The sequence below is a fragment of the Homo sapiens genome, chromosome 11 (genome assembly GCF_000001405.40).
Source record: "Homo sapiens chromosome 11, GRCh38.p14 Primary Assembly".
NCBI lineage: Eukaryota > Metazoa > Chordata > Mammalia > Primates > Hominidae > Homo > Homo sapiens.
The window spans coordinates 11604134-11618532 of NC_000011.10; the positions used below are offsets into that span (position 1 = coordinate 11604134).

Genomic DNA, 14399 nt, shown 5'->3' on the forward strand with positions numbered 1-14399 from the left:
AACTGTGAGGAAATAAGTGTCTGTTATTAATACACCACACAGTTTATGGTATTTTGTTATAGCAGCCCAAATAGACTAAGATACCACTTTTCAAAGATTGTGTTGGTTTGGTTAGTAAGTTAAAAATCCATTAAGAGCATTATTGAATGTCTTATTCTCCTTCATTGTGCATGGTCTCCATCAGTGGCACTGTGCTGACCACGCCATCCACACAGCTGGGTCTCAGTTTCAGAATCAGTGAAGTGAGGCAGGCTCACTATTCAGGTAGCCCATTCCTGATCCCACACTGCTGGAGAGTGGGGAAGGACAGGGTGGACAAGCGATCTACATCCAGCCCTAGACACCCAGGCAGCTTCTGGCAACACCAGTAAGAGGCAGCACCAGGATTTGAGGCAAGTCCAAGTGACTCCAGACCCCGCCTGGCACCAAGTCTGCATGGCGGAGAGAAGGGTGATGTGGATCAGAATGCAGCCTTAGCAACCAGAATGCAGAGCACCATTTCAGAGCTTTGAGAAGCTTCCTGGATTTTGCTCCTGTTTTCTCAAACTGGCAAAACCCAAAAGGCAAAGAGAAAGGGATAAGGAATTTGGGAAGCTTTTCTGCCCCAGGGAAGAATCAGCCTCAATGACAGTTTGGTATTAACTAGCTCAGCCATGCAGGGAGGCATAATTAGTTTCCCGGCCCATAGCTTCATTCCACTGGTCCCCCACACCCCAAAGGCTACACAATCTGTTTGAAATGAAAAGGAAAATAAAATCACTGCTCTCCTCGGTTGACCCACTGGCTATTGCTCCTGGCCGTGAGTCTGCGGAGGTAAAAAAAAAGAATGGAATAGTCCTTTTTAAATGACATTTTCAATTTTTCCCCTATGTCTACTATGCCCTCTTCCACGCTACTGCCTAAATGACTCTTCTCAAATTGAAAATATCAGAGAATAATAGGAAAAGAAAAATCATAGTTGTCTGAGGCTCCGGCTAATGGGCTGTGCTGTCCCGACAGGCAGAGTCTGAGGAGGAACTTTTACTGTGTCCGTTTCCTGTCTGGGGAAAGTGGAGAAGGGTCTGTGGTGCCAAACTCAGACCCACACTCATGGGTGGGTGATTCCCCAGGTGGCCAGCAGATAACTTGGAGTTCCAGGCTGCCCACCTTGACACCTGGGCCATCTCCTCAAGGGATTTCCACAGGCAAGCAAGAAACACCCTCTTCTGATCTCCGGGTTGCCCTCTCTCAGCTCCCTCTCCTCACTGCAGACCTTTCCCGACACCTGTCTCCTGAGTGCGAAACAGCAAGTCCTAACTTGCCAGGCCGCCAGTCACCGCCACCCTGAAGACACAGGTGGTGGAGTCCATTCTGAGGTTCTCACAGACCTCGGGGTGAACAGGAGGCCCTCTGTTTCTGCTTCAGAGGGAAAGCCAGAGGCCAACTTCCCTTTACCTCTGGGGTCCCAAGCACTCTGTTTCCTTTCTTGAAAATGAAGCTATGCTTTCTCCTTTCTAGTGACTCTTCAGGTGTCAATTAAAATGACTTCAATGCTGTCTCTCCTCTTGAAGCAGAAATGCCCTGCTTACCTGCATCTTTTCTGGCATTATTCTCTGCTTTTCGTGCAGTTTACTTTTTACCTTCTGCACCCACTAGATTGTTTTAGTTTGAAAGTGACCACAAGTGACAGCTTTATTAAAATGAAGATGTCGAGGGTCCCTTGAAGGCTTCAGGCTTCTCTCACCAGCTGATCCCTGGGAGAGCTCAGTGTGGAAAGCACACTGCACACACGCTCATGCGCACACACACACACCACTGAGCTTCAGCTTCCCTTTGATTAAATCTTGACACAGTAATGTCAGCTGTGAGGGGCTATGAGAGAGACCCCAGAAGCATGAGCGTTCCTGTCCCTGACCCAAAAGCATAGCATAGAACAGCCTCTCAGAAGCCATCCCCAAAGCCAGAATGAAAACCAGCTCTTCTGTCCCTGGGCTTCCCTTCCAGGCAGTCTTAAAGCCAGAGGTCTGGATGTGAATCCTAGCACCACCTCTTACTGAGAGGTTTTAGGCAGCTGGTTTATTTATTCATGTGTTTACTCAGCAAACTCCTACCTAGCCCCTACTGTATACCTGGCACTGTGTGACAAACTGGAAAACAGGAAAAACCGGACCCAGTCTCCACCTTTAAGTAACCCACAGTCTAATGAGAAAAGCAGACTAATAATTACAGGACAGTATGATTTTCTCATCTGTAAAATGGGGCTAATTATCTCACAGCCTTATTTTAAGGATTAAATAATATGAAGTGGATTAAACAGTGCTAAACATCTGGTACATGGCTGATAAATGTGAATTTTCTCTCTTTTTTCCTCTCCTTGACATAAAATATCTGCCCCTCCTCTATCCGAATCATCACTCTGGTTTGAGGGGCTGAGAAGAAGCTCTGTTCCCAGATACGGAGGCAGCATCACTAGGAGCTGTTGGACCCGAAGTCAGGCTCTGGTCAGCAGGCCAGGGAGAGGAGATCCCATCCAAGGGAGACCCTGAAAAGCTGCCCACCTCTTTGTCCCATAAGCACCTGGTTTCATCTGAGGACAAACAAGTAAGGATTTTCCTTCCTGGTGCACACGTTTCTCCTGAAGTTGAGGGAAGTAACTGGATGTAGAGGAAAATTGTCTAGACTTCAAATCAGGATCCCTAGACCCTATCCAGGGCCTCCAGGACCCAGTAGAGGCTCCTCAGGGTAGTCCTCAAGTTGCATTGGGTCTTGGATCCTTCAGCAAACAGTTTGAGGGTGAGGATGCTGATGTTATTTGCAACTCTAACATGGTCTGATTTTAACTAGAGAGCCTTCAGACAAGAGCCTTCACCAGTGGGATATGATGTGAGAACTGCAAAAGTAGGAAGGTTTACCCTTCTTTGTTGATATGTGAGGAAAGAGAAAGCAACTGCACTGAGCTGCGCAACACAATACTAGAAGTTTCCACTATTGACCAGAGTGAAAGAAGACATTTAATTTTCTGTTTACAAAAATCAATGCATACTTTCTGTGCTTCTAAAGTAATTACAAACTCGAAAATACTTATGCCTATTTTGCTAAAAACAGCTGGCTCTTGTTGAAAAATAAGCAAAACTCACAATTGCTCCATTTTGGTAAATGAAATAATTATTTTTATTGTTTCATTAAAGACGAGTATCTTAACAAGTGACCAAAATAACCCCTGTTAATCAAGAAATGGTTTATTGCCTGGGAAGTTTCAGAATGATTTGCTACAATTCTCTCTAGTAAAGAAGCAAAACCATCCCTCAGTTTTCTGCTATCATTAGAAAGAAATCTTTTTTAAAAACACTTTAAATAGATAAGTGCTATAAAAAAGTATGGAATGTACCTTCCCAGTGTGAACTACATCTATCTCTGAATTGTAAAGAATGTATATCAAAATTATATCATGCAACAAAATGCACATTTTGTAGAGGGGGAAGAAAGAAAAGATTAAATTGAATCTTCCTGACAATTGTCTTAAATCACACCTTCCTGCCTGCAATTGAAATTATAAGTCACATTGCTCTGAGTTAAATCAAATTCATCCTGGCAGGAAGATAGGCTGATGTGGCTTCAATTTGGTTTGAAAGTTGAGTTAGAAGAGAGGGAAAAATCTGTCCTCAAGAAGACACTCTCCACCAAGGAGCTAGGAAATGAGACTAACCCACCAGGTAACCAGACACCCTGCATGACTCTTCCACCAGCCAAGGTTTCAACCAACATAGCACATTCCTGGCATTGTCTGCTGCCCACTGCAATGCCAAGTTTCTACAAAAGATTTTACAAAACAAATCTGTAAAGGTTTTACAAAACAAATATTTCTCCACAAACAAGGGCAGGTCCCCAGTCTGGAGGGCTCAGAACTTCAGAGCAGCGGTCAGTGACACCAAGATGCCCTGGAGCAGAACTTCCAACATGTCTCAGCTGAGATGTGACCAGCATTAGTCTGGGCTCCCCTGGAGCCTAACTTATGACCATCTGAGGCTTGACTTACGTGGGAAAGTCCCAACTAATTGCAATGAAATGGGGCTAAATCTGATATACTAGGTGTTACAACCAGAAAATATATTCCTGACCGTATTTTCTATGTGAGCTTCAACAAGGATGAAGGAAAGAGGGAATGAAGGAAGACTGAAAAAGGGAACTTGTTGTCCCCGGTAGCTCCTACCTGATACACAGGGTGGGGGTGCTCGCCTGTCTTTTTTGTTTTTTGGTTTTTTTTTGAGACAGAGTCTTGCTCTGTCACCCAGGCTTGAGTACAATGGTGCAATCTCGGCTCACTGCAACCTCCGCCTCCCAGGTTCAAGCAATTCTCCTGCCTCAGTCTCCTGAGTAGCCAGGATTACAGGCACCTGCCACCAGGCCCAGCTAATTTTTGTATTTTTTTTAGTAGAGACAGGATTTCATCATGTTGGTCAGGTTGGTCTCAAACTCCTGACCTCATGATCCACCCGTCTCGGCCTCCCAAAGTACTGGGATTACAGGCGTGAGCCACAGCACCTGGCCGATTGTCTTCATTTCTATGCTTGGGGAAACTGAGGCCCTGCAAGTGAAGAGACTTGCCCAAGGTCACCCAAACTGTAAATAGCAGCACTGATTCTCATGACTGCCTGCACACTCTCTTCCACCACACTCACTGAGACGCTCAGGCTTCCCTCTTGAAGGTAATTTTTGGTTTTATTTCATAACTAAACTTGCCCTCTCCAAATCTTTCTTACTCCACTCCCTTAAATCCTCCTCATTCTTCAAAGATGTGTCATTAGTCCCTATTCCTCCATGAAGTCTATTCTGACAATTCGCTCTTCTGGAATTCAATTTTAACCCTCATTACATGAGTTAGCTTGCAAAAGATCCTTAACTGTTTCTTGTTTTGTCTTCTCAGCCCAATTATGAGCTCTTCAAAGAAAAGGAGCATGTCACATGTTTTCTATCATTTTCCACCATACCTGGCACAATGCCAAGCCCAAGAGAAGTACCCAGGAAGCAGCCACAGAACAGCCTGCACTGATGCCTCTCTGCTCACCCCCTCTGGTAGCTCCCCAGTCCTTCCAGAGCATTCCATCTGCAGTGGCCTTTGAGGCTGCACAACCAGCTTCCCAACCCGCCCCTCTCTGGCTTCTTCCCCTACCCCCTTTTCCCACCATCACCCTGCTCTAGCCGCACTGGCCACTGTTTCTCAAACACTTCAGGCACACTCCTGCCACAGGGGCTTTGCACTGGCTGTTCCCTCCGCCTGGCACTCTCTTCCTCTAAGATACACAAGGCGCACACCTCACCTTCCTCAAGTCTTTGCTTATAGCAGAGCCCCTGACCACCTCCTCATGTAATTGCAGTCCCTCGTATTTTTGCTCTGATTCCACTGATACATCCCCAGCACAGGTGCTCAATAAACGCTTGTTCAGTGAAGGAGGGGAAGAATCTGAGCACATACCAAAAGAAGGCAGCGGTACACCCCAGGTCACTGTCAAACTTCCAGCCAACACTGAGGAGAGTGGGAACTTGGAAGCACATCTGCAATTTCTCCCAACTCCTTATGGTGGTTTTATTTCCTCCCATTCCCACACCACAATAAACAATGCCAGCCTTGGTGTCCACCTCCTATAACTGCCCAATAGCTAGGGGCCCACCATTTCATACGTTTAACTCCAAATATTCCATTCCCTCAATTAAATGGGAAGTTCCTGGAAGGGCTGGCCATGTCTGCTATTGACTTTGTGTAGACCAGTCCCCCTTTTATGGTCCCCTACCCCACCCCATGCCCTGAGCCTAGAGGACCCCCAAAATAAAGCTGTGGCCTGAGTGAGTGGAGGAGATGATCTTGTTGATGCTAAGCCTGCTCCTGGGGGAAAAAATGATGCAGCTGGCTGCAAAATGCCATACCTAGAGTTTCTCTCAGTCTTCCAGAGAGCTGAGCCCAGGTCAGCTCCTGGCATAGTCTTCCTGCCTCTCCAGGAAAGGAGGCTGCCAAAATAATCACTTGGTAACCCACCTCAGGGCTTCACAACTCTCAAAAAGTTTTCTTCCAGTCTCAACGTTTCTGCTAAAAGAAAGGATTGAGCCTATTTTCTCTTGATCAACATTACTGGAGCAGAAAAACAAGAGGGCCCTTAGCCCCTTGCTAAGGAGCTTAACAGTGGTAATGGGCTTTTATCTGTTACTAGCAGCTGAACCTGGGATAAGCTCATTACAGTCACTAAGCCTCAATTTCTTCATCTGTGAAATGGGGATAATAACACCATCCCACAGGCCTGCTTATGCGGTTAAGGTGAGGTGACAGGTGTAAAGTATTTAGCACATCACAGGTGCTCAGCAAACATTAATTCTCTTCCTCTTCCCATTTCTTCTCCAGATGAATTCAGACCTATTTTTCTATAGTCCTTCCTCACTGGTTTTTTTTCCCATTCTTGATTGATTGATCTCTTCTATGCACTTTCCATTGGATTCTTCTTCTAATATAAATCCCCAGGTTCTCATAAAATAAAATAAAAGGCCTGGCCCAGTTATCGAGTTGGACATTCTATGTCATAATTCCCACGTTATACCTTCCTCCATTTACTCTTAGAAACTAATGCAAATCAGAGGATCCATTTATTATTAAAAATGAGATTTAGAAGTGGAAGAAACCAAAATGTTAAAAGACTCACTTCTCCAAGCCCATGAACTGACAGGTCTGAAGCCTTCTCAAGACCCTCCCTTCCTCTGCAGCTCCTTCTCTCCCATCAGGGAAATATGATGATTAATTAGACAAAGCCTGTCCCGCTTGTTGAAATCCTTTGAGGCATGAACCATATAAACACAAAGCATTATAACTGCAATAGAGAAACCAGAAAACCCCTCTGCCTTGGGATGCTAACCAAGGCACAGCTAAATAAATCTGTAATGGAAGATCAAAAAGGATCTTCCACTTGGATAATAGAAAATGTCACCAGCATAAACAGAAAGAGAGATTAGTTCAATAAAGGAATAAAGTTACATTTGTGGGTCTCAAGTAAGATTTTTGCTTACTTTTAACTTCCCAGCATATAACTCACAAGGTTATTAATATGGACTCCTACTGTTTTGGGCAAATAAACAGCTGCTGATGTTTTGTGCCCAAACCACTTTATTAGAGCTTTCCTTTACAGCAATTGTTTCTTCCTTTCCAAATCCTGAGAGGCTCAGACAGTTGAAAACCAGAGAATGCCAAAGCGGAAGGAATAACAAAAAAGAGAGGAGGCAGCCTGTGTGGGCAAGGAAAATGGGGAAGGGGCTGTGGACCCTCACCTTCTTCTTTGTAACCTTCAAGCAAGTCAGCGTTCAAGAGCAGAGAGCAAAGACCGGATGCGGCACCATCAGAAAGGCTATTTTTACCCCGTTGCTAGGAGTTATCATGGAACAGAGAATTCACCACTGTGAGAAGCCTCAGATGACCAACCATCCAGGCTTGCCCAGGGAATTGGGTGCTTCCCTGGACCTGGGACTTTCAGTTTTAAAACAGGGAAAGTGTAAGGCACATCAGGATAAGCTGGTCACCCTGAAAGACACGTGACTATGCCAGGGCACAGGAAAGCACTCAGCCCGGTGCCTGGGACATTTTGGGTGCTCAGAAGTCACAATGAATCTGAAAGAGCTCTAGTCTGCAGCTGGAACACTCCGCTTTTTTGACAAGGACCAGTTCCTGGAGGCCCCACAGTGACCTAGGAGAAAAGGCTGTCCACAGCTTTGTGGTGGCTGCTCCCTCACCCTTCCAGACCAGGGCCTTCTACTGCTGCCCACCCTACCCTCCAGGTTCCTTGTAGACACAAATGTAAACCAAGCCCCTGCCTGGCCTCCCATTTGACCTGAGGCCTCTGAGCTTACACTCAAACACCATGTTTGATAAGATGATCTCCCATTCCTCTCTACGAGAAACATTCATCCTCCTTCCTATTCTGTAGAGAGCATTGGTTTTGTAGCCAGTTTCCCTTCTTGGCTCTACCACCCATCAGCCCTGTGACCTACCTTGAACAAACTCTAAGTCTTCATTTTCTTACCTCTAAAAAGGTAAGAAAAAAGGTAATCTTACCATGTTGTGAAGATGAAAAGGAATCACTAATTTTAAAAATTACAATTTTATTTGTTCATTGAAATAAATAAATAAGTAATCATGCCTGGGCAGCACCTGGGCCAGTCCCTGACCTGCTAGCATACTGTAGCTCTCTTCCTCCATTCCCTTGATACAATCAATCTTTAATTCTCTATATGCCTGTTGCTCTTAAAATAAATCAAGGGTTTAGCTAGGATTCTCATTTGTCGCTTCAAATCTCTCCTTAGCTTTCTAACTCTCATATCCATTGGCCTAAGCAATTTTGGTACTGTTCTCCTAAATCCCCAGATGCCGCTAGCACAACATTTATTAAGCCAAGCTTCGAATCCTGTCTTGCCAGAGTCCCTGAATTACCTTCCTGCTCCTCTGGGATCTCAATGGCCTTTAACTCCAAGTTCCCAGGGGACAGAGATGGATGCACAAGTCAGACTGGCGAAGCCCAACAAAGCACCAGAGCTTGTTAAGATGCAGCACTCAACAATCTTAATCAGGGAACTCTGCTCTGAGACTTAAACTCAGTGCATTTGTAGAATGAACCTATTCACGCTAAAGAACTGGCCACAAGCCTCCTTGTAGGCATCATTTTTCATTGTTCTCACCTGTCCCAAGGTGAAGAGTGCAGATGCCACTTCTCTGGATCTTCCCAAACACTGTATTTCTGTGAGCTCTTAAAGGATGGTGGCAATGGAAAGTAGCCCAGCAAAGTATGCCTGTTGGTTCTAAAACCATTTTAGCAGTGGCTCCATAAGGGAAGCCACTGAATGTTTATGGTGGCTGGACACTCAGGGGTTTCCACTAGCATCATTAAGGACAGCTTCATCTCCCAAAAATAAACCTTCCAAAAACTGAAATTGAATGTCAGGCAGTGAAAGAGAACTACATCTCAGTACTGCATCCCCACTGGGACGAACTGTCTAGCAACATATTTTAATCCATAATCGTGTAGTCAGAAAAACCACCAAAGCTTAAGTGTTCATATAACAAGGAATCCTCTTGCTTAAAGTTCCAGTTGGCTGCACTGGAACTACAGGGGATCTATAAAAGGTATACAGATCCACAGAGAAGATTCCAGAACAGCAGTCATTCCCAATCACTGCCACAACATACTGTGCTGTGGAGCAGTTGTGAGGTAATTAGTGAGTAACAATAATTTAAGTACCAAAGCTTATGAATGATTAGCTTTAACTCTAATAAATTAAAGGGATTTCAAGGTTGTTACATTCCCTTGCATACTAATATGCCTTCTCAAGTAGGAAAATAAAGGGTGGAGTAAGAATGAATGCAATGTGTTAGGAGGTGCATCCTCCTAGCCCTGCCCTAGGGCACATGCCTTGTATGTAGGCCTATGTGTGAGGAAGGGGGAAACATCAAGGACCCCTGGGCTCAAGCATTGCATTACAGATGGAGCTGACTCTAACCCCAAAGGCAAGTGAGATTCAATAACAATTGTAGGAGCCATGAAATGACCACATCCCTGCCAAATCCAAGGCAGAAGCTCCACCCTTCAAGAGACATTCCAGGCCAGCATAAACAGCATGGTCCACCATTCATTGATGGTGGCTTAGCCACCAGTGGACCTCAGTCACTCTGCCTCTTGCTCCTGACTTGAGTGTCATCCAACTTGTATGGCTTCTGCCCTTCCGCTTCATGCATAATTCCATCTCTCCCCAAAGCCCACCATGCTGCCTTCTGGTTACATTTATCACTCACATTCAGCCGGGTTTTCCCTCCAGGAACTTTCTGTGTAACATCACCTCCAGCTGTACTGCTTGGCAATGTGCTTCTCCACAGGGCAGCCTGTCTGTCCCCATCTCCCAGATAGAACCCAGCTAACAAAAAGCCAAGCTTGGCTTTCTGCCACAAACCAAAGGAGACCCTCAAGACCCAAATCAAGACAATAGCTTTGTATTAGTCCATTTTGCATTGCTATAAAGGAGTACCTGAGGCTTGGTAATTTATAAAATTATAAATTTATAATTTGGCTCATAGTTCTGCAAGCTGTTCGAAGTCCAGCATCTGCTAGGCTCCTGGGGAGACTCCAGGAAGCTTACAATCACAGCAGAAGGTAACAGGGAAGCAGGTATGTCACATAGTGAGAGAGGGGTGAGAGAGAGAGGCAAGAGAGTGAGGAGAAGAAGAAGAAGAGGAGGAGGAGGAGGAGGAGGAGGAGGAGGAGGGAGGAGGAGCAGCAAGGCTCTTTAAACAACCAGCTCTTGAATGAACAAATACAGCAAGAACTCATTCATTACCAGGAAGACAGCACCAAGCCATTCATACAAACACCTCCCACTAGGCCCCACCTCAAACACTGGGGACCACATTTCAACATGAGATTTGGAGGGTACAAACATTCAAGCATATCAAGCACATTCAGCTATTCAAGTGAAGTGAGGTCAGAAATCCTATACGATGGTAATGAAGACGCTCCAGTAACCCTGTTTGTGACTCTGAATCCCATAAATACCTTTGGGAAAACATAGGCCAGCCTAACCCAAGTGACTAAAGCTGAACTTCAAGGCCCTCATAAATGACAAAACCAGACGTGGCTCTCTGACACTTTTCATTCTGAATTCTCCTTGAGATTCTCCACCAACCTACTTATCAAGGGAAAATAACAATTTATGTCAAGTGAGTGGGAAAGAATGTGGAATTCATTTATTTTACAGCCTACACACTTCTGGCTAAAAATGAAGATTCTTTGGTCACGGGGAAAAGTTGTGTCCTTTGGCAAGGCTTTTCTTCTTCATAAAGCTGTGGTTCTGAACTAGTAACAAAGGTAATTAGGCTCAACTCCTAAGTCCTGCTATTGAACTCTCTCAAAATGTCAATCACTGTTACTAATATAATTTCACATGCAACAGTTCATTCCAGAGGACAAATAGCTTTACTATTTAAATGACACTCTTTCCTCAAATAAACTCCATGCACTCAGCAAACATCATATCCTCTTCTTCACAAACGCTGCCAAGTCAAAGCTCAGATGAGAAGAACACGAGCCAATTCTAAGTAACATCCATAAGCTATAGGAGACAGAAAAACATCCAAGCTCAGGACATCTGCTGATTCTTAGCAACCATAAATGATTTGTAGTCATGGCGAACAACCTGCTGTTACTGACCTGGTATACATTAATATGCACATAATATGACTAACAAACTTTCAGGAAACAAAATGCAGTTAATAACCCATTTCTCCATTGTTGGGATGATCTTGACTCAATGAAGTAAGATAACGGATTTAGAAATTAGTCACATAATGTAATACATTATTAATCATGGTATTCAGAAGGGTAAATAGATGTTACAAGAACACCACCCAGAAATTCAATTTCCTTTTAGATTTATTTACTCTCCTGAATTTGTTTATACCACCATCATCCCTCACAAAAATGTAACAGTCTGATCTTTCCTCTTTTCCTGAAACAGTTATTTTCAACTTTTTTTTTAAAGAAGTACAACTTTTTATAAAATGAAATATTTTATAGAATGCCAAATAGAAAACAGAAGACAGTGGAGTTTTGTTGTTTGCAGGGAGGGGAGGGAGCACCTACAGGCAGAGTCTGGGAGACCCCACTTAACCCTTTTAATTCTCAGGCCCCAGATCAAACCTTCTACAAGTTTAGGTCTCCTGGGTACACAGTTTGAAAACCACTGCCCTAAGGCATCTATGTAAAATTAAAATTATGTATGTAACATATAATACAGGCAAAATATTTATGTATCAAAAAAATTTGTAAAATACACAAATCACAAACACTGAGTCTTTTTTTCTTCTTCTTCTTCTTCTTTTTTTCTTTGTAGAGATGGGGGTCTCACCATGTTGTCCAGGTTGGTCTTGAACTCCTGGGCTCAAGTGATCCTCCCACCTTGGCCTCCTAAAGTGCTGGGATTATAGGTATAAGCCACCACGCCTGGCCAAACACTGATAGTCTTAGAGAACAATAAGCAAGGACACAAATAGTCCCACAAGATAAAACAAATACCAGGGGTGGGGGAGGATATTAAGTTCTAGAGTAATCAAAGGAGTACAAATCAAAAGAATAGAGCATTTGACAGGGATTACATTTACTCGGAAAAATTTGAATGATAACACCCAATGCTGGCCAGGCTCCATGACTTTGGTACAATAAGACACTGTTGGTGGCTGTAAAGAAAGCCTTTCCTTCTGAAAAAACAATCTTTCATAAAAATGTTCAGACTCTTTGAGTCAGTACTAATCCCACTTCTGGAAAGACATCCTTAAACATAATTCAAAAAACAGTGAGGTGAAGATGTTCATTTCTGCTCTAATTATAATAGCAAAACAAATGTCCAATAATAGGAAAGTGGTTGAATCAATAATAGTATACTGATGACAGAATACTATGCAGTCATTAAAAATACAGTAAAAGTTCTCTTTAGAAACTCTCCATTTAATCAATTCTCCAGATTAACTATGCTTGCCATTCCCTCTGTAACAAACCCTATTTGTCTCTAGTACCACTGCCCACAGCTCCTGCAAATAGTTGAGTTTTACACTTACCAGTGGTCCACTGGGTTTGTTCTCAAACGTGTTTACACTATTTGTACTTGTCACTGTAACGGCATAACCTAATCACGTATTATATAAACCAATGAAATATGACGGCTAAAAAGATGAGTGTTGTTTCTAAGAAAATTACTTTAAGTTCTAAGTGCTTTGCAAAGGTTTTATAAACGGTAGTCAGTTAAAGAATAGCAATCAAATTACATGTGAGCAAAATCATTGCAAAAGATCAGACAAAAATCGTAACAATTTAGGCTACTACACTGAGACTGCTTCATAAGCACCTTTAAGTTTCCAATGAATTTTAAAGAAAACAGAACTATGGGATATTATGGGAGTGGTTTGTGCAAGGAAGATGAACAGGACGCCAATTGGCAGATGCATCCCAAAGACAGAACTTTGGCCTGATATCAAAAGTCTAGCAAATGAATGTACATTTTGGAAAACATTAAAATAAAAATATTTAATTGTATGTATGTAATACTTTGTTGTACTCTCCTCTTTAACCAATTTTTCTATTAACTAACTCAAGCCCTGACCACGTTGACTAAAAGGGATTCTTTGTCCTTTGAAAACAAGTCCGCTATGACAAGGACCAAGAGTGCCCATACTCCTGTAGAGTGTCTCTAGTATACAGTTCACCACTGTAATCACTTTCTCAGTGCAGTGTCTGGCACACATTAGGTCTCCAACAGATAAATGTTAAACCAATAAACTATGTAGCAAATATGGAAAAAATAGTGCTTCGTTAACAAAAAGAAAGTGAACAAAGCAGAATATAAAATTACATGTAAATCATGACTACACCTTCATTTTGAAATATGGAGGCAAATGAACAAATCCAGAAGGAAATGCTCAAAATGCAAACTGATTTTTAGGGTAGAATGAATTATGGGCAATTTTATGCATTTTTAAATATTTTCTTAAACATTGGCACATTCTTTTCCATATTCAGAAAGCTACTAAGAAAAGAAGAAAGCTATCTTTATTTTTACTGAATTTCCAAAATAAGAACTGAATCAACATTTCCATTTCCTGCACTCTCCAACACTGAGAACTCCTTTAGCAGATTCTTGCTTCATCCGCCTCACCGTGTCAAGCCATCAGATCTTTCTACTCCTAAGATGGAGAGAACCTGACCCTTACTAACATTTACTTTGTGTTTCTAAACCCCCAGGATGCTTTTTTTAAAAACTCATAAGTTATCCACCCTCTCATTTAACGTCTATTTGGTCAAAAAACTTCCCAAAACTGCAATTTACATTCCCAAGAGATTCCCAAACACCATCTAATTAAATCATTCAATCAGAAAACAAATTAAAATGAAATATCACTGCAACTCCCAAGACGAAAATAAACTTTTCAGTCATGACTAGAACAGACCTCTGGGGTGATGCTCCAAAGCCTCTTCTAATTGCAAGTCCTATGGAACATCCTGCAGAACATTTTGTGACATTTGCAGCTTCAAGGAGACTTTCCTTCTAACAAAAAGAGGAGCCTGGACAAGACTCCAAAGCAAAACACCTTTTTTGGAGAGTGGTAACACTTTCATTAATAACCAACGTGGCCATAGGCATCAGCACTCATCCATTCATCCACGCTTCCACCCCACAGCTACTTTCTGCAGAATGTGCCAGGGACTGTCCTGCATGTTCAGTAAACATTAGTTAAAGGACTGGAACCTCTGCCTCTTGGCATGAAACAAAGCAAAACCTGAGTTTATCTATGGAGTTTCCAAGTGGGAAGGCTGCTGACTCCCTCACCCCTCAGCCATCCTCTGACACCCACT

The 14399-nt window shown here is 43.0% G+C and overlaps 1 protein-coding gene across 6 annotated transcripts in view, besides 1 other annotated feature; it reads right to left on the reverse strand.

Moving 5' to 3' along the window:
* The window catches only part of GALNT18 (polypeptide N-acetylgalactosaminyltransferase 18), a 351129-nt gene that overhangs the window by 333257 nt on the left and 3473 nt on the right, over window positions 1-14399 (reverse strand). The window lies entirely within an intron of this gene.
* Window positions 9451-9620: an enhancer, noted in NCBI's record as "experimental_19011 CRE fragment used in MPRA reporter constructs". NCBI's record gives its function as "activates a minimal promoter by MPRAs in K562 erythroleukemia cells, with activity observed for both the introgressed and non-introgressed 11:11635216 variant alleles {active_cell/tissue: K562}" and the evidence as "EXISTENCE:reporter gene assay evidence [ECO:0000049][PMID:34662402]".